Genomic DNA, 20,164 nt, shown 5'->3' with positions numbered 1-20,164 from the left:
AGACATAACTTGGTGAAATCTCAGAATTCTAAGGAGAAAGAAAATTGTTTACCTGGGTGAGGGAGAGCGAAGGGTCGGGAGGGAAGTACAGCTTGTTCTGATTGCATCTTTGTGTTGTTCTGATGAGTACTGTGAAAATGAGTGCTCATTATTTTAAAATTTTTTAAGAAGAAATGTCATCAAAATGCCTTTCCATGATTTTCTTCTGCCAATAGCCCTCTTAGCCCAGCATCTACAGAAACTCACCACCGCGGGCCCAGTGCCTTCCCATCCTGGTCCTCTGGCTCTGCTTCCTACACCTGGGCCCGACACCTTCAGACTGAGCACCTTCAGGACAGCCAGCGCTTCCTGGGCCTCGACTTGGAGCCTGGAGCTGCGCTTGGTGTTGAAATGCAAACATGAACAAGGCTTGATTCCTGCCTTCAAGGAGCGTAGGGTCCTCAACCAGGTCACGTCTCTGGGCTTTGCTCTTTTTGCTCTTTGCTGATTCTCAGAGGCATTGATGGAACCAGAAAAATTCATGCACTTTTCCCCCATCAGCCTATCTGCCCCCTCCTCAGCTGTGAGGAAGGTGGCCTGACATTTTAAACTGTGGCTTCCATGGTGACTCCCGCATGCCACTTCCTGTGACCCAGCTGAGGTTCTTCTGCAACATGGTGGGGTCACTTGGCCTCCCCCGACCCAACCCACGTCCCTTCCCCTCTCCGTGTGCCCACCCTCCTCACATCTGTGCCCCACACCCTCGCCAGCCACACTGTAAGTGGGGATTTCTTTATTCCGAGGAACGTGTTCTATATTTGTATGCTGACTCACCTCTGGGGCTTGCTTTCCAAAGACAAGGGAAAACAGGCCCCTAAGGCAAGCTACCTTGAAGCAGGGTTGCCCAGGTGGGACAAGGGAGTGCTTGAGGTTAAGAACCAAAGAAAGAGGAGTGAAAAGAGGGAACTCCCTGGATGGGAGGGTTTCCTCCCTTCTTCTCTGGTGTCTTTCTAGAAAGGGAAGAGAGTTGGAGGTAGAGAAAGCTGTAAGAGAAGCCAGCAGGAGACGTGGCAGGCAGGAGAAGGGAGGCAACCCCATGGAAAGAGCTGCTGCCCCAGACACTGACCTGCAGTGCCAGGACCTGCCAGGGAACAGCCCGGGAGGGTTGCAAGTGATGCTCAGTAGACACTGAAATGCCACCACATGGGACAAGGTAGAGTTTCCCATCACCATATGTGGCTGAGAGCCAATGAATCTATGTGTCTGCAGGTGCTTGGCTGGACATGATGGTATCCTTCCTGGGTGCTCAGTGACTGAGTGACATCGGATACACCTATCGGATACACCTTTAGCACAGGGTAACAAACACACTCCCTGCTTGCTTGCCATCTGCCCCCAGGCCCCCTCACCACTTCAAAGCCCACCTCCGCGATTGCCCCTCCACCTCTCTGGTCAGAAACTGGCCGGGGCCTGTGGCTTGGGACTCTTCCTAACTCCAAAGCTTCTTCCCAATTCCAGAGGCTGAAAAACAAGACCATAGGCCACCTCTCCTTCCTGACCCCTGAGATACACAGCTAAGCTGGAGCAAAGGCCCCAGAGTCCCAAATGAGGAAATGTCAAGGAACCCCAGGGCAGCTCGAGGCCACGTTGCCAGCACTGGCCAAGGTCTCAGGCAGAGGATGTAAAGACGCAGGCTTTCCACGGAGAGTATCTTCAAGGATTTGCACTCCTGCCCAACTAACAAAAGCCCCAAAGTGCCAGCCCAGGGAGGGGAGGGGCAGCTTTCTGTTTAGTCTGGCAGTGACCAAACGGGCCTGCAAGAATCAGGAAGCTGCCTGGTATGGATTTCAAGGCCCCTGAGTCCTCATGTTTATCTTTAGGCTCATTTCCAGGAGCTCAGCAATGTGTCCATTTCAAAATAATAATTACAATCGCCTGTCTTCTGTATGACGCAGACTTCGGAATCCATGTCAAAGTACAGTAGAACAAAACACCCTAGCGAAAGCAATTTCACCTGATGACTCTAGCGCACAAAGGGTGGAATTTATCATCATTATCAGAAAGCATGTAAGTCCCAAACACCTCAGTTAGAACAGGATGTGAACACGTTACAGTTGAAGGAGATAATTATGGAAATGCCAGAGCAGAATATTTTACAAAATTGGATGTTTCAGCTGGATCTGGTCATCAGACAATGGAAGGACCAGCATTCAGATATTTGATTACCTCCTGATGCTGAGGACTAGTTGAATATATTTGGTTCCGGAAATGTCCCAATGAAGCAAGAGAAAAATGGGAGAAAAGGCTGTGGCTGAGGCCAAGCCGTTCTCACAGCTGCAGAAATGAAAGACAAGTCCCAGAGCACCCTCCACCCCACCCCCCAGGCCCCACGTGGCTTTGAGAGACTGCATGAAGCAGAATTTAACAACAGCCTGTGCCAGGCTTGGTGGCTCACGCCTGTAATCTCAGGACTTTGGGAGGCCGAGGTGGGTGGATCACTTGAGGTCAGGAGTTCAAGACCAGCCTGGCCAACATGGTGAAACCCTATCTGTACTAAAAATACAAAAATTAGCTGGGCATGGTGGTATGTTCCTGTAGTCCTAGCTACTTGGGAGGCTGAGGCAGGAGAATCGCTTGAACCCAGAAGGCGGAGGTTGCAGTGAACCAAGATGGCACCATTGCACTCTAGCCTGGGCAACAAAGCGAGACTCTGTCTCAAAAAAAAAATGAAAACAAACAAACAAACAAAAACACAACAGCCTGGCCAGTGAGCATAAGGCATTTGCAAAACCCCCAGGAAGACCCCTTTTGTTGGCCCATCCTACCCCTAAGGCACACCATCTCTGTCTCACTAACAATGAAAAACACCAAAGCAACCTTTCTGACCACTGGCACTGGGCACCCAGGCCCCGGGGCACCCGGTCACTTAGCTATCTGCTTTCCTGTGTCCTTATGAACAAACACCAACCTCCCAGCTTCACACTGACATTTCTGGCAGAATCAGCCTTATTATTCCACCTGAACCAACAAGAAACAAAGCCAGTCAAGACATTTGCCTATTGGCATTGCAAAGTTTTGAATGCCATCAGTCATGTGGAAAATGTTGAGCCGAGCCTGGCAGAGTCACCCAAGGCCTTCATGCAAACAACAAAAGGCTGCTGGGCACTTTGGAGCCCACGTGGAGGAGGAACCACTCATCACAAAGCCAGGCACCGGCCTCCCCTGATGGCCCTAATGAGGACCAGGTGACCATGATGAATGCGACCATGCTGTGTTTGTCAAGTCTGAGATTACTGCAAAGCCTGGAATGAATGAGTCTACAAACAAGCACATCTATCTGCCCAGAAGCTGGAAAGAATAGGATGTGGAGAAGGCGGGGGCTGGGGTGGGAGGTGTCATCAATTACTTGTGGTTCTCGGAGAGCCAAGGAATATGCTTGGAAGGACAACTTCTGAGTGCCTGGAGAAGTCTTTGGTCAGCACCCCCGGTCTTCTGGATAATATCAGAGTCTTTCAGATCATCCAAGCCAGGCCAGATGGAGGCAATATTGTGCAGTGGGCAAACTTGTCTCTGCCTTTCTCTGTCCTTCTCCTAACTCTTGCCCATCTTCCTTCTGGTCTGTCTCACACACACACAACCCCACACACAAACGCACATACACACATGCACCAACAAGAACAGTTTAGGGTCTTCCCTTCTCTCCTGCCAAACCCTGTTCCTAGGAAATGATCTGATCACAGGTCAAATGTTAATATATTTCTATTATAATGGGAGTAAATGCCATCAGATAAAGGGTTGGAATTTTCACTGTGAAAACTAAAGAATGAGCTAGGAGCAGGAGGCAAGAATCACGCTGTGTCCAACAATGCTTTGGAGGAGGGTGCTGGGAGAGTCGCTCAGCTCTACCCCTAACTTGTTGGGGGTGCCTTGGGCATTGGGCTCCTTGTCTTGGCCTCAGTTTCCTCACTGGCATAAGGAGGGGCATGACTTAGGTGACTGCAGTGTTCCTCCGTTGGTACATAAAGAGTGAAATTTATCTAAGAATTCTCAGAATGCATTTTGGTCTCAAACACCTCAGTAAGAATAGGATGTGGACCAGGTGCAGTGGCTCATACCTGTAATCCTACCACTTTGGGAGGCTGAGGAGGGAGGATTGCTTGAGGCCAGGAGTTCGAGACCAGCCCAGACAATATAGCAAGACCCCACCTCTACAAAAAATTTAAAAATTAGCTGGGCATTGTGGTGTGTGCCTGTAGTCTCAGCTACTTGGGAGGCTGAGGCTGGAGGATCGCATGAACCTAGGAGTTTGAGGCTACGGTGAGCTATGTATGATTGTACCACTGCACTCCAGCCTGGGTGACAGAGCAAGACCCTGTCTCAGGAAAAAAAAAAAAAAAAAAAAGGATGTGAAGACGTTATAGCTGAAAGAGACAATTAGGGAAATGACTAGACCATAATCTTTGCAAAATTGGGTGTTCAGAGAATGCACCTTCCTGTTTCTTGACCAGTCCATGGGCAGCAGGGCAGCAGAAGCTTCCTATGAGCTCCTGAGAAGTAACTGGGCACGTTCTTGGAGATGTGGAGATTCCATAGCTAGCCTGCTTCTCAGGCCCCAAGCGATATTGCTTTCCAGAGAGGCCAGCCTTGGAGATAGGATGGGCCCTAGGGGACAGGCCATTGTTTAAAAACAGTTGCATTCATGGTGCCCTTGGGAGCATTTTGGGGTCATATAGGCGGTTTGGTAGTATAGATGCTGGGGGTTCTCCATGTCCCTAGGGAAGCCACGGGAAAAATAGACTTCCCTGCCCAAATTCCTCAAGCATCCATTCGAGTCCTAACCCCTCCACGAGACATGCCCAGTCTCCTTAGCTCAGGTGCTCCCTGCTTTCTTCTTCTAGAGCTTTTTGCTGTGCCTGGCTCAGGTTTACCTCAGTGTACTCCCCTGCGGGGGCAACATTCACACTGCAGTTTAGATAACTAACCTGGATGAAGGATGCCCCCTGCCACAGTGGGAGCCAGTGGCCCTGCCTTCTTTAAGTTGTCCCCAAGCAATAGTGCACGTATCACAGGGCTCGACACTGCAGACAGTTTCGTTTTGCTCATGGTCTTACTCCTGTCCCCAGCAGCGCCTCAGTCCTGTCACAGCAGGAGGCTCAGCTCCCTCGCCTGCAGCTTCTCTCTTTGAGCCTCGCACACCCTGTTGACTTGACCAGACTAGAAGTCTGGGCCACAAATGACCATTCCTTGTTATTCATAAGCTTTGTGGGTTTTTTTTTTTTTTTTTTTTTCATATGAGAGGCATTTGGGTGTCTGGGAAAGAGTTTTTAAAACAACTTTTTATAGCTAATGAAGAATTTTTAAATATCACTTAGAACAAAAGGCCTCTTTGAAGCCCAGTCCCCAGAACATTGTCACAATGGACTCCCTGTTTACTGGCTACAAATTGTTTACTTTGCTACAAATTGAATGCAGAGAGAGGGCTTTGGGGGCGTAGGGCTGCATAGATCTCAGCCTCGAAAAGAATTCAAGGAACCTCAGGCCCATTCCACATGCTCCACCTCAACTATGCGCTAAGGAATGGTGTTGTGTTTGGCATGGTTCCCCATCAGCTCCGATCTGGCCCTGGTGCACAGTGGGCGCGAACGGGTCTCTCATTATAACTCTGGAGTTTAGGTTCTAGGCTGAAGGAAATTAACTGAACCATTCAATACTTTTGACCTATAGGGAAGACTGATTAGTTAGTATGGGATGGAAGGAAGGGGTGCAGGAAGGAGAGAGACATGCTCTGTCCTCCTGGCCTCATGTGGGTGCTCTTACCTTTAAACCTCCCCTGCCCCAGGCCTGGCTTCTGAGAGGGGATCTAATGAGACTTAATGACCGCCTTAGTCCCATTTTTCTCCTTAGTTCATCCTACTTGCTGTCTGAAAGGGACTGAATTGTATCCCTGAACCCCACCCCTCCCAATTTATATGTTGAAGCTCTAACCCCAAGTAACTCAGCATGTGACTATATTTAGAGAAAAGGCCTTTAAAGATGTGATTAAGTTAAAATGAGGTCTTTAGGGTAGGCCCTAATCCAATCTGACTGGTGTCCTTATAAGAGGAAAATTGGACACACAGAGACACACCTGGGATACACACAGACGGCCACCTACCAGCCAAGGTGAGAGGCCTCAGGGGAAACCAGTCCTCCTTTCAACAGGTGACCCTGGACTTCTAGCCTCCAAGACTATTAGGCAATCAGTGCCTGATCAGTGCCTGTTGTTGAAGCCACTCGGTCTGTGATACTTTGTTATGGCAGCCGGAGCAGACCAAGACACTGCGTAAGATCAGAGATTCTGACTCTCTCCGAGCTTTAGTTTCCTGGTCTATAAAATAGGAATATCATCTGTAATTCACAGGCTCTTGTAACGGTTAAGTGTGACAGGGCACATGGCACAGGATCTGTGCACAGAGCAGGTACAGGCTAAATAATTATGATGATTAAAATTGTCGTTACTGCTATTAGAGACCAAGGATGTTCATACATTACTTACAGATCTGTACCAAATGCCATCCCTAAAGTCTCTCCATTGATTCAATGAATAAGTACCAAAGAATTTAGTGTTTTGGATAGCCCTGGAGATTCTACACTCTCTCTGGGCCACTGTGTCACACAACTCTGGAGGGCACTCTCAGAGGTGTGTTGCCCCTAAACCAATTCCCTCTTCATGACTTTACATCCTCACCAATTTTAAAGCATGATTGCTCTCAATTGGTCATTGTCAGCTTCCAATGGCCGGCCACTCCGCTCCTCATCTGCAAGGCCCTCGTCTCCTTGGCAAAACTTCTTGAACCACCACTGCTCTGTACATTCCTTGGCAGTTCCTGGGCCAAAAGCATTGCTGATGTTTCCAGTTTTCTCCACTGCTTTATGACCCGTTTTGAACTCAAATAAGAAAATCACTCAAATTTGCTTTTTGTCTAACATCATTTCCATAGTCTAAAATAAACATAAACAGCAAGTAACGTCATTAGCAAAAAAAAAAGTGAGAAATGCCCATTAAAATGATGTATAACATAATTACATTTATTTAAGAATATGTTCCAATGTTAAACAGCAAGTTCCAATAATGCAAAAACGGCAATTCCTTTTGCAGTCACCTAATAGCTTCCAAGAAGCAGAAGAAAGAAGCAGTGATCCAGGTTGATTGCCCCGGTCCAGTCCTGGCCCCCACACTTATTCTCTATGTGGTTTTGGGCAACTTACTGAACCTTTCTGTGCCTCGGATGCCGCATCTACAAAATGGAGATGATAATGGTACCTTCCTGCTACAGAGCTTCTGAGGATGAAGTGGGATCTTGTAAGCACAGAACAAGCATTGCCATCATTGTTTGCACTCATGTGGTCCCAAGGAAATATCCTTTCTCTTAGAGGTAACATTTTAGTATGAGGCTCTTAAAAGTGGAAATCACTAGTTTAAGAGCCAAAGAAGTATATCTCTAACAGTGGAATCACAGGCACTGTGGAAGGCCAAGGGTCCTTCCTTGCGTCCTCCAAATCATATCCCCCAGGCAGCTGCCCACATGTGCTGGCCACACTGAGGAGCCCAAGGAACAGCCTCATGAGCTGGTTTTCGCAAAGTGGCCAGTCACCTCTCACCAACACTGAACTCAAGGTTTTAATTCATTAGATATGCAGTGGGGGTTCCTATGCTGTTTAAATCAGCTCAGTGAAAGACTTACCTTTGCAATGGAGACCATCATCTCAGAAATGCAACAAAAGAGAGGCTGGGTCCCTGGCCTCAGGCCTACAGAATGAGAGGGGAATTGCGTGGTGGGAGAATGAACAGCTCTGGGGGTTTTGCCGTGCACAGTTGGAGCTGTTACCAGCCCAGATCACGACGCCTTGTTTATTGATTTCACAGGCTCACAGACCATAATATGATGAATATCACTTTTCCACTGGGGCGAAAGTCACACAGCCAAAGAAGCGAGGCCATCATCCAGAAAACAGAAATGTTTTTGTCTGAGTGTGCCATTGGAGACACTGAAAAACAAGCTCTTCAGGTAATTACCGAACTTCAGCAAAGTGAGGCTCTTGGGTGAATTATCTGCATAATTGCCTTCGCTCTCCAGTTAGTCCATGAAGACGTGATCTCGGCAAATCACCCACTCACCTAAGCCAGTACATTTGAAGTTGGGCAACAATAGTAATGATGATGCCGATTTAAGAAACGAAGAACCAGGCTCTGCTGAGCAGCAGAGGCTGCCGCAACTGCTTGATGTTTACGGACTTGTATTTAAGGACAATTCCTTTGGCAGTGGGTTTGATGAATGTTTTTTATGCTATGTCTACAATAATGCTGGAAGTTGTAATTCTCACCTTGAGGATTGTCTTGTTCCCCCAGCCAAGCTTGTCATCTTAGATGCCTTTCCATGGTCTCCTGTACCCTCACTCCTGGGGGTGTCCGCAGCAGGCCTGTTCCTGAGGCAAGCCTTCTGGGCTGTTTTGACCAAACTGGACGCCATCTTGTAAAATCGGCACGCTTGCATGGAGACACCCTTCCTGTCCCTGCCCTCTGCTGGCCAGTCAGAGTTAAACTCCTTGGGCGTCCAGAGCACTCGAGCACCTCTCTGCCTCTCCTAAACCCCTCACCACCATCAGGATCCCAATAGGAAACATGTGGCATGGCAAAACGAGATCACTCAATGATGGAATAATTACAAAAATAGGAGGGAGTGTAGCGAAGCCTCCTGGGGTGGTGCAGGATACCAGGGTTAGTAGTGTTGGCGCTGTTATGAATCCATACAGAAGAGACAAGGAATGTGAAATACCCAAACATGGTATGGGAGGGTCACGCACAGCAGGCCACCTTGAGAGGAGCAGTGAGGGACACAGCTGGCCTAAACCACTTTGCGGGAAGGGACCAGCCCTTGACACCTCCTGCCTGCCTCTGATCTCACGTTGGGCACCCCACTAGCTGAACCCAACCAGAAGGCAGAGTCTCCATGATCCCATACATGCACCTACACAGGGCAGGCTCCCAGGGCAGAGAACAGGGGCACCAAGCAGATGTAGGAGGGTAGAGAGAAGATATGCGGCAAGCATAGAAATCAAAATTCAACTGTGAAAAGGATCCCAGCTGAGAAGTTCAGAGTTAAATTTCCTTGGATGTTGTAGCCAGTACACCCTACATCCTAAGAAGAGCCAATTGATATAAAACCTAGAGCTTGCTTCCTTGACTAGGCTGAGATCATGCTTTTACTTTGGGTCTGATAAATTATCATAACCCTAGTGATACAGTTTGGATTTGTGTTCCCACCCAAATCTCATGTCAAATTGTAATCCCTGATATTGGAGGAGGGGCCTGGTGGGAGGTGATGGGATCATGGGAGTGGAGTTCCCCCTTGCTGTTCTTGTGATAATGAGTGAGTTCTCACAAGATCTGGTTGTTTAAAAGTGTGTGGCACCACCCCCTTTGCCCTCTTCCTCCTGCGCCAGCCATGTAAGATGTGCCTGCTTCCCCTTCACCTTCTACCATGATTGTAAGTATCCTGAGGCCTCCCAGCCATGCTTCCTGTACAGCCTGCAGAAATGTGAGCCAATTAAACGTCTTTTCTTTATAAATTACCCAGTCTTAGGTAGTTCTTTATGACAATGCAAGAACAGACTAATACACCTAGGAAGGTATAGAAATTTTTGTCTTATATAGTCACTGCAAGTTCAGGATGAGAAAAGCATAAAAATTAGTAAAAATATAATGAAAAAAATCAGGACCAAATACTAGTAACTTTATAATTGTTTTACATGTAACTGTAATGAAGTTTCATTATCATTGTGATAATATCCAAATGGTTTGAAGCATGTAAATGAATCCAATATATTAGACTTGTGAGTTGAATTGAGTGATTAGAAAAATTTTATTAAAGAAGTTTGTAATTAATGTTTAAATACTGAGGAATTTTTAAATTTGTAAATTCATAAGTTTTATTAGTTGGGTGTGTTTAAATTTTTAGAACAATATTTAATAGGCTTATGGGATTAATAAGTTATGCATTAAATTAAGTAGACATAGTATGAGTATTGGTCAAAGCCCTTGGATGTCCACAAGGGTGTGTTGATGTTACTATGGACCTAATGACATAGGGTCCAACCCAAGCATCATCATGTCTGTGAAGATTTCATTGTTCCCTGTGGGGATTTCTCATCTCTCAATTCTTTAGCTGCTTAGACCCTTTTGGGGGGTTCCTGCTGCAAAAGCAAGTTTTTGCTGTTTGTTATTTGGGGTGTTTATACCTTGAATCCCAAGGCTGTTAAGTCTTTGGGAGACAAGCACGCCCCCTGAAACAGTCTTCACTTCTTTTCCATTTTCCATTTCTCCAGGCTCAATATTAGACACATATTATCTCCAGGCTCAATATTAGACACATATTAAGGACTCGTGTATGACACAAGCCCGTCTTTTGAGGAGCCTTCAACCCTGTTAACAGAATTCATCAATGTTTTAAAAAGCTTGTTTTTAAAAGTTTGATGCATTCCTACTCTGTGTCCAATGCTACAACAGGCCATGGGGACACAGCAGTGAAGGAAACAAGGTCTCTGCCCCTTAGCAGGTCACAGCCTACGCAATATCTCACAGAACTACAATTCTGAGCAACTTGTCCTTAGTGAGATGTGCACGCATGACAGTAAGTGCCACAGGACTTGAGAAGGAAGCCATTACTGAGTGACAGTGGCAGAGTGGCAGGGTAGACCTTAGGGAGTCAAGAGGGTGGAGGTGGAGGATGTATTCTTATTCCACATAATAAGAGAGGTAGACATTGATTTCTGTTCTGGCTATGTCATGTGTGAGCCACCATCTATTAGGGATACTGCTGAGAATAGAACCCTACAGAGGTGATGTGGGGAGACCAGAGCAGAGTGAAGACACTCTTGGAATTTCAGAGTGTCACCGGTTGAGGATAGATTCATGAGTCACATCAAAATAATATTAAGTATTAAAAGTAGTATTTTAAATTCTAGACATTAATTCTAGACATTCCTTTCTGCTCACCAACTTCTCCCATTCTATAAATGAGGGCATTGCAAAGTTAGGACTTTTCTATCTGATACAGCCAAGGTTGGGGTGATATGGAGATGTACAAAGGGGAGGGTGGAGAGCAGCAATAGGAAGGACAGAAGTGCCGGAAGAGTGTGGGGAATCTTTCTTAGGAAAAACTACTTCTGAGGATTCCTGAAAGGGCTCAAGCCTTGGAGGGTGTCTCTACGCTCTATGCCAGCCATGAGTACTAGAGAAGCAAAAACTGGGGGTTACATGTCCAGGAGGACAATTCAATAATGTTTCAACTTCCCTGCATGCACATCAGTGCTGAGAGTAGCCAGATGTCTCCCAGGTGCCCAAAGTTGCACAGAAGCAATAGAGAGCGTGCCAGCTCTTAGAAGCTTTCAGGGCCCCGGGAGGATGCTGCGTTGACATACATTGCTGAGGACAGGGACCTGACAAGAATGACAGAAGCCTCAGGGTGCACCAGGGTGCATGGAAGACAATGAATGGTAACCTGGTGCCAGCCTCCTGCTCCCCAACCCCCAGAAATCATCAGCATTCCAGGGGAAGGGAGAACAGGGCAGGGAGGAAGAATCTGAGATGACTCTGGGTTCACCAACATTTTAGTTTTCACCATGTAGCACAGTAAGAGCTTGTAACAGAATGTAAAATTGGTTATTTTAAAAATTAAAATAATGAACATTTCTGAGTTCATGACCTGAGATTTGTGCCACATATTTAAGACTAAAAGGAAAAAGTAGAGACATTGAAACAGACATAAGAAGGTAAGACAAAAGCCAGGAGAGGGATATGGATGTCACAGAAGTCAGAGGAGGAAAGAAACTCCTGAAGCATGGGTGGCGGTCTGGGATGCCAAATGCCACAGGACCAGGGATGAGCCACAGTGTCTATGTCGTGAGAAATGAGGCAGTGGGCTTTCAAGGGACAGAGGCCATAAATACTAACAGTCAATGCTTCTCTAGACTCTACCAGCTGCCTCTGTCTGCAACTTGTCATGCATCTTGAACTTGAGGAGATATGGGGGCATGCACTTTTTTTTCAGGGAATCTGCCACTCTTGCTCACAGACCATTTAGCCCTTTTTCGAGCCTGATACAGGCTCATGATCAGCAAATGTGACCAGACACAGAACATACATTTATAAGCATCGATGAAGAGGATTCAGCCCAGTTTCATGGTCCTAGAGAACTTCTAGTCATCATGATCCATCAAGACCAGTATGGGAAGCTGCCTAAATGCAATGCTTTAAAGTGGAAGGTGCAAAGGGAGGTCAAGTAAGCCTAGGACAGTCATTAACTGATCCTGCACTGTGACCAGATTTGGTCATTGTGTTGATCAGGCCAATGAATACACCCAGGTCGAATGTCAAACAGACACCCATTGACTGTCTGTATAACATTGGAAAAATCACTTACTTCCCTCGGTCTTCTCTTTCGTAAAGGAGCCATTCTGCATTCTCAGAGACTTATTCTGCTCTCCCATCTTCAGTGCTTGGGAGCTGTCTGTTGGTGTATTATTGTTGAGTCCAAGGTACTATAACCATTGATTCCCAGACCATAAAGAAATGTTTTCCAGTTGGTGTGGGTTTGGTAAAATGAAAATTCCTATGCACTGCCTGGGGAATGTGATTCTGGAGGAAAATTTGGCAATAAGTATCAAAAGCCTTGATGATATCATACCTCTGACTCAGCAAACCCCTTTCTAGACATTTATCTAGGACAGGGGTGTCCGATCTTTGGGCTTCCCTGGGCCACATTGGAAGAAGAATTGTTCTGGACCACGCATAAGATACACTAACACTAATGATAACTGATGAGCTAAAAAAATAAAAAATAAAATTAAAAACCTCATAATGTTTTAAGAAAGTTTACAAATTTGTGTTGGGCTGCATTCAAAGCCATCCTGGGCTGCATATGGCCTGCGGGCCATGGATTGGACAAGCTTGAGCTAGGAAATCATCATGGATATATGAAAACATATGAATAATCATGGACATATGAAAACATGACAAGGGTGGATGTTTATTGCTATGCTGTAGACAGTAAGGGAAAACTGGAGACAACCTAAATGTCCAACAATAGGAGATAATTACAAAATTATGACACATTCATACAACAGAATACTATGCATAAAATTATACTGTAGATGACTATTTAATGACATGGGTAAATGTGTACACTATGATGATGCAGGGCAGGGGTTACAATGAGATCTGATCTTTGGAACATCATTTGTTCCATTTATATGAATAAATATAAAGGAAAGGATGTGGCCTAAGTGTTAACAATGCTGTCCTCTAGGTGTTGAGGTTAGAGGTCATTTTAATTTTGTTCTTTGTGCTTCTCTATGTTTTCTGCAATGAATGTGAACTATGTCTGTAATCAAGGTTTTAAATATATATTTTTATATAGGGCATTTTGCACACGCCCCTTTTTATATTCTGATGCCAATGAATCCTTCAAAAATGTTTCAGTAAATGTTCAAGACCAGCCTGGCCAACGTGGCAAAACCCCTTCACTACGAAAAATACAAAAATTATCCAGGCATGGTGGCATGCACCTGTTGTAGTCCCAGCTCCTTGGGAAGCTGAGGCAGAGAATCACTTGAACCCGGGAGTCAGAGGTTGCAGTGAGCCGAGATTGCACCACTGCACTCCAGCCTGGGTGACAGAGACTCTGTCTCAAAAAAAATATATATATATATGTATACACACACACACACACACACACACACACACACACACACACACATATATATGTGTATATATATATACACACTTGTATGTATGTATGAGTAAATGCTTCATCAACAAAGGGCGTTTTGTTTCTCTCTGGCTCTGAATCTTTTGGAACGTGGTTTATTTGATGTTGGGGAACTTTAGGTGAGTTCTTTCCAGATAGTTGGGATGTTTTCAGTAGAGAATGGTGAGAGTAGCTGAAGGTCATTGTATTTGATTGAAGGACGGAGGGAAATGAGTTTCGTGGTAGTTCATACTCTTCTTCTCTTCACCTGTAATGCAAACAGTCTACAATCAAGTTTACAATAATAATTATCAGCTATACAAACAGAAGCCAGAGTGGGTATCTGTCCAGGAAGGTTGCATAGCTGATGATGTTTTTGTAAATAAAATTAAAAAGCGTTATTTCTACATGCCAGCCACGGAAATAGTTCTCCTCTCTAGTGGATTGTTGGCTTTTTGCATCCCAAGATGTTAAAATGTAATTGTTATAGAAGAAAAAAAAGAGGTGAACGCTTTGTGACTGCCTTCTACTTTCTAAGACCCAATTAGTTAAAAAATAATGAGCAGCCTCTCTGCCAGTGACCTTGTACTAAAAATCCTGGAAAATATAAAGACATGCTGTTCCAGTTATCTCACACTATGTGACAAAAAATTTCAAAACTCAGTGGTCTTCAACAATGATTTTATTATGTTCTGCATTCTGTGGATCAAAAATTTGAATAGGACTCAGCAGTGATCATCTGTCTGTGATCTGTGATGGTCTTGATCATCAAGATTTGATCCATGATGGTGTTGAAGCTGGACTCACCTGTAGGCTCTTCACCTCTGGACTGGGTTGACTGAAGGCCTGAGTTTGGTTGGGACTGGTGGCCAGAGCACCTACACATGACCTCTCTACATGGCTTGGGCTTCCTCACAACATGGTGGTTGGATTCCAAGAGGGGGCATCTGAGAGGAAGTATCTAGGAAAAGCAGCAGAAGTTGCATGGCCTTGCCTCTTCTAGCTTCAGAAGTCATGCAGCATCTCTTCTCCTGCATTCTTTTGGTAACAAGCAAATCACCAATTCTAGTCCAGATTCAAGGGGAGAAGAATTTGACTCCACCTCTTGGTGGCAGGGTGGTATCTCTTGATGGCTCCTCATTGCAGATGACCACAGATGTGAGATGTGTTGCATGTGTCTTTGGTGCAAGGCCTTCTTGACAGTAACAGTTGCTCCTGAACTTCTTGTGGCTGTTAAGATGTGGTTATATTGGCCAGGCATTACCAGAGCTTCTAATTTTTCAGGAGAAGCCTGCAAAAATGTTGATTTTTATCTGAAATCTCTCTTTTTATAATGTTGGCAATTGTATTCATTCATTTTGCATTGTTATAAGGGAATACCTGAGGCTGGGTAATTTATAAAGAATAGAGGTAATTTGGCTCACAGTTTTTCAGGCTGTACAAGCATGGTGCCGGCTTCTGCTTTAGTCAAAGACCTCAGGAAGCTTCCACTAATGGCGGAAGCCAAAGGAGAGCATTCCTGTCACATGGTGAGAGAGGGAGCAAGAAGAGAGCAGAGAAGGTGACAGGCTCTTCTAGCAACCAGATCTCATGTGATCTCATCAGCAAGAACTCTCTCATCACCTTGGAAAGGGGATCGGGCTCATTCATGAGGGATCCGCCCCTATGACCCACACACCTCTTACATTGGGGATCACATTTCAAATGTGAGGTTTGGTGGAGACAAACATCCAAACCACATCAGCAAGTAACTCCAAACATTCTAAGGATGCTTCCAAGCTATTGTCCAATGTCACTTCTTCCATAAAGTTTCCACTTAATTCCTTATTAGAGTACCTATGCTTTCTTTAAGTGGTGGCACTTTTCTTTACCCTATTCTTTTCAACTTTTGGTATGGAATGTGAAGGAGAAAAGGTGAGAAATAGAGTGTCAATTAGAGAGGGAGTCAATGCCGGGAGCAAGGTGAGGATGACATTGATGGTTCTAGGAAAGAAGCAAGGGAAGGACCAGGGTTTTAGAAGAAGAGCATGACAGGGCAGGGGGAGGTCATTCCTGACTAGGAGAGAGGCTGTGTCTGCTTCTCTGAAGGGGAAGGTGGGAGGAGAAAAAGTGTGCACAGGAGGGCTTGTCCAATAGGAAACAACACTGTTGAGCACAGATTATGAGCCAGGCATTATCATTATCCTGGGTGCTCTCTAAGCACTGGGGACATCAGTACATGCATCATGATCCCTCACGGGGCTTCTAACCTTCTAGTGGGTTGCACTATCTTCTAGTGGGCCCAGGTGTCTGCTGAGAATAAGATGGGAGGTGGTAACTGCCCAGAGGGCCCAGGGGAGCCCTGGAGGCAGGAGTAACCGCCATGGGCAGTGAACTAGGAGCTCTCTGGAGTTGATCATCAGTTGTGCAGAAATTCCAGCCTTGCAAACAGGCACCCATGAGGAAAGTCCTTCTGAGGCTTGGAAGGAGGGACCTGCTAACATTCAAGGTGCTCCTGAGTTGAGGATTAAGGACAGAGAAGGCCAATGGAGTGAGCTGTGTGTGGCCTTTAAATGGTGGGGCTCCAGGAGAGCTCAGGGTGGGGACAGACCCTCTAGGGCACCGGTTTCTCACGGGAGGTTTAGTGGAACAGCTGTGACACAGCCCAGAGGCCGTGCCCATCTGCAAGCTGTGTCAAGGGCCAGTGTTGTGCCTGCACTCTGGCAGGCTGGAGGACAGGTCGGCCTTGTCATGAGATCATGTGGGCTCATCCCTCTGAGGAAAATGTTAGCTCCACAGGCAGTCAAATCACATGTTAAGAATGTGGTAGAGGCTGGGAGTGGTGGCTCACGCCTGTAATCCCAGCACTTTGGGAGGCCGAGGTGGGCGGATCACGAGGTCAACAGATCCAGACCATCCTGGCTAATACGGTGAAACCCCATCTCTACTAAAAATACAAAAACAAAATTAGCCAGGCGTGGTGGCGGGCACCTGTAGTCCCAGCTACTCGGGAGGTTGAGGCGGTAGAATGATGTGAAACCAGGAGGCGGAGCTTGCAATGAGCCGAGACCGTGCCACTGCACTCCAGCCTGGGCAACAGAGCGAGACTCCGTCTCAAAAAAAAAAAAAAAAGAATGTGGTAGAAAACTGATAGTGCTAACGAACTCTTCATTTAAAAGGAGAAACAAAATATTCATGTGACTTTTATATTTGGTCCAATTATTAAGGACCAGAAGGAAAGGTAACAGCTGCAATTCAAATGTGTGCTTTCATATTCTGTAACCGTATAACAAGCAATTATTTTTCTCAAGGAATTTATTGAAAATGTTGGTTGTTTTTAAAAGAGGTGAGCACTTACAACCAGATTGTAACAGGACCTGCAAAGATTCACAAGGAAGAATATTAGAATGTATCAGCAAATGAATAAAAAAGGGGCTAAACATGCATTAAAATTCAAATCCAAGAGAAAAATTTTTCTGAGCCTACAGATACTGGATAATCAAATTAGATCCATTTCTGTGGGATTCCTTATGTAAGAGTATTCAAAAAGTTGTTTAGTTTTTGTGAAATGAGGCATACCTTCCCAAATTTTATTTCCAAACTTAAATTTGAACCTGGAATAAAATTCAATTCCTCACTCACCATGCTATGCATCTGTTGGAAGAAAATTTGAAACAAGTTTTCTATTGTACAGCAAAATCAATGCCAATTCATCCTGATGTTTCTAATCAACATGTCTTATTTTCTTCTCTGTTCCCATAACTTTTAATTATTTGTGGTACTCTCCCAACAAACCCTTCTGTTCTTCTCTTTAGTGTCTCCTTCTGGCTTACGATTTATAGATGTGGAAGTCATTTGAGGCTGGCTATCACTGATCAATTACTAAGAAGTTTTTTGGGTCTTCAAGACTCCCTGACATTTTAACATGCAGAGCCCTGTCTTGTGGGCTTAGTAGTTCAGGTAGACTCTTTTAAAGAAAAGGTTATATTCTTAATTAAAAGAGAAACATGGAGCCACACAATTTCTTCATTTAGACTTGGAGAAAACAAATCATTGTCTTAGTGCCACTATCCCTGCTAAAATAATTTCCACAAATTGCTGGAGGCCTCAAATATTTGATCGTTGTCCAATAATTTGACATTGGCATCTTCCCACCTGGGCTTTCAGCTTCAGACTGCCTCTTGTCCAGCCCTGCCATTTCCCATTCTTGATCTCTTTGGGGTTGTTTAAAATATATGGGTATATTTTCAGCTTCAAAAATATTGAAAACACTTCCAGTAAGTTTTTATAATTATTGAGGTTTGAGTTTTGGAGAGCAAACTTCTCAAGTGGAGACCAGACCAGAGATATTCTGGAGAAACCAGCCGGTATTCATGCACCTGAAATGCTGGGGCCAGAATTGGGGCTGATGCTTTAATCCCAAACTGGAAACTTCCTGCTTGCCTCCTTCTCTCCCTTAATCAGAATGACATGAATTCAAAGGGATAGAAGCCCAAGAACTAAGGAGCCAGGCAATCTTCACTGCTCAATTTAGACAATTATGTGTTTGAATCCAAAGACAGCAGAAAGACACAACAAACACTCAGGTTGAATTAATCCATTACATATTAGTGACTGGGTTGAAATCTCTTTTGCTCCCTGGCTGTAGTGGATCCAGGTGATGTGAGTTGGTAATATATTTTTCCATGACAATTTTTCACAGTGCTGAGTAGAGAAATGTAATTTTGTGGTCTCTCAAACTATTCCGCACCATTGCTTTTTGGCAAACAGGGAAATGCCTCCCCATAGCAGTCATGTCTGTGTCCCACTGGACTGAGTTTGCACAACAAAACAGAAAAGCCCCCAAACACGTGCGATGCAGCAGGCCCTCAGGTTTCATTCCGGCTTCAATCTTTCTCCATAGGAACTCCAAAAATGTCAAGGAGTGTTGTGAAATCTTCCAAACAAAACTGATTTTAATTCACTCTAGTCAAAAACAAACATACAGCACTGGGTGGGAGTGCAGTGAGGGAAAGGTTGTAAAATAATTGTCTTCCCTTGTAGGTGATCAGACACCCCCAAATTTAAGGATGCTGTCTGGGAACTATCACCTAAGATGTATTTACCCTCCTAGGAAATGTCAGGATTAGGAAATTGATTCATGACTGAAAGGAGAGGTAGATAGAACCCGGCAAGGCGATGAGGAGGGCTGTGCAGTGGATGTCCTATTGGAAATGGTTTTAGGATAAGATGGCAACAGGTGGAGACGGGAGATAGGGTTTAAAGAAGAGAACATTCTCCAAAGATAAAACCATGGGGCTGGAGATTATGGGAAGAGAGAGTTAAAGGATGTTTGCATCTCCTCTCTTGACTCAGGACACTGAAGGACTTTAAGAAGGAGCAAGTTTTGTCAGCCACCTCAAAATGTAGAAAAATGAAGCCATCCCTTCCCCATATCCATTCTCCTTTACTTTCTTTTGCATTCACAGTCAGAGTTGAAGTGATTTCCTACAACAAGTTTTAAGAAGAAATGGCTTCATACATAGAATATAATTTCAGAGAGATCTACTGGGAAACAAAGCCATTTTTCTAAATTTTTTGAGACAGGGTCTCACTCTGTTGCCCAGGCTGTAGTGCAGTGGCGCAATCACAGCTCACTGCAGCCTCTGCCTCCTAGGCTCAAGCAATCCTCTCACTTTAGCCTCCTGAGTAGCTAGGACTACAGGCGCTTGCCACGATGCTTGACTAATTTTTGTATTTCTTATAGAGATGGGGTTTTGCAATGCTGCCCAGCTGGTTTTGAACTCCCAAGCTCAAGTGACCCTCCTACCTTGGCCTCTCCCAAAGGGCTGGGATTTCAGGCATGAGCTACCGTGCCTGGATGGAAACAAAGCCATTTCATCAAAGAAGACAAGGACAATATAATTAGTTATAATTTAATTGAGCAATGCTTCTTCTGTTTCACCTTTGAAAGCATCTCTTGGACTCTGGTTGGTGATGGTTGTGGGTGGGATAGGTATCTCACCAACATATGCCCATAAAGCAGCTGGAGTCCATTTTGACTGGTTGGTACCAGTCATTAAATATTTTTCGTATTTGCTATTGATGCCTTTATAGTCTCTGTGAGAGTAGTGAGGTTTCAACAAAACAAAGAACATTTGAGCCCAGGAGGCTGAGCTTCGATCCCTGTTTCACTACTAACAGAACGTGAGCTTCAGTTTCCTTTCTTCTTTCCTCTTTCCCACAATGATACACAACATCTCACATAACTCAGACACACCATCAACCAATCACTTCTCTAGAACGGAGTGCCAATAGCCTTTTTCATTCATCGGTTACTTCTCAGGCAGGTGAAAAGGAAACAAGCTGATAAACAGCAACCCAGTGGGGAATGTGTCTCCAGAGCCTACCTCTAAGTCAAACTTCGTTAACCCACCTTA

General features: G+C 45.1%; 1 annotated feature.

The window, feature by feature from the left end:
- Window positions 282–4,193: an enhancer, noted in NCBI's record as "VISTA enhancer hs2174". NCBI's record gives its function as "enhancer in: hindbrain (rhombencephalon)[6/13] | eye[11/13]" and the evidence as "EXISTENCE:transgenic organism evidence [ECO:0001131][PMID:17130149]".

Source organism: Homo sapiens, chromosome 21, assembly GCF_000001405.40.
Source record: "Homo sapiens chromosome 21, GRCh38.p14 Primary Assembly".
Lineage (NCBI taxonomy): Eukaryota > Metazoa > Chordata > Mammalia > Primates > Hominidae > Homo > Homo sapiens.
This window is presented reverse-complemented; position numbering and strand designations above follow the sequence as displayed.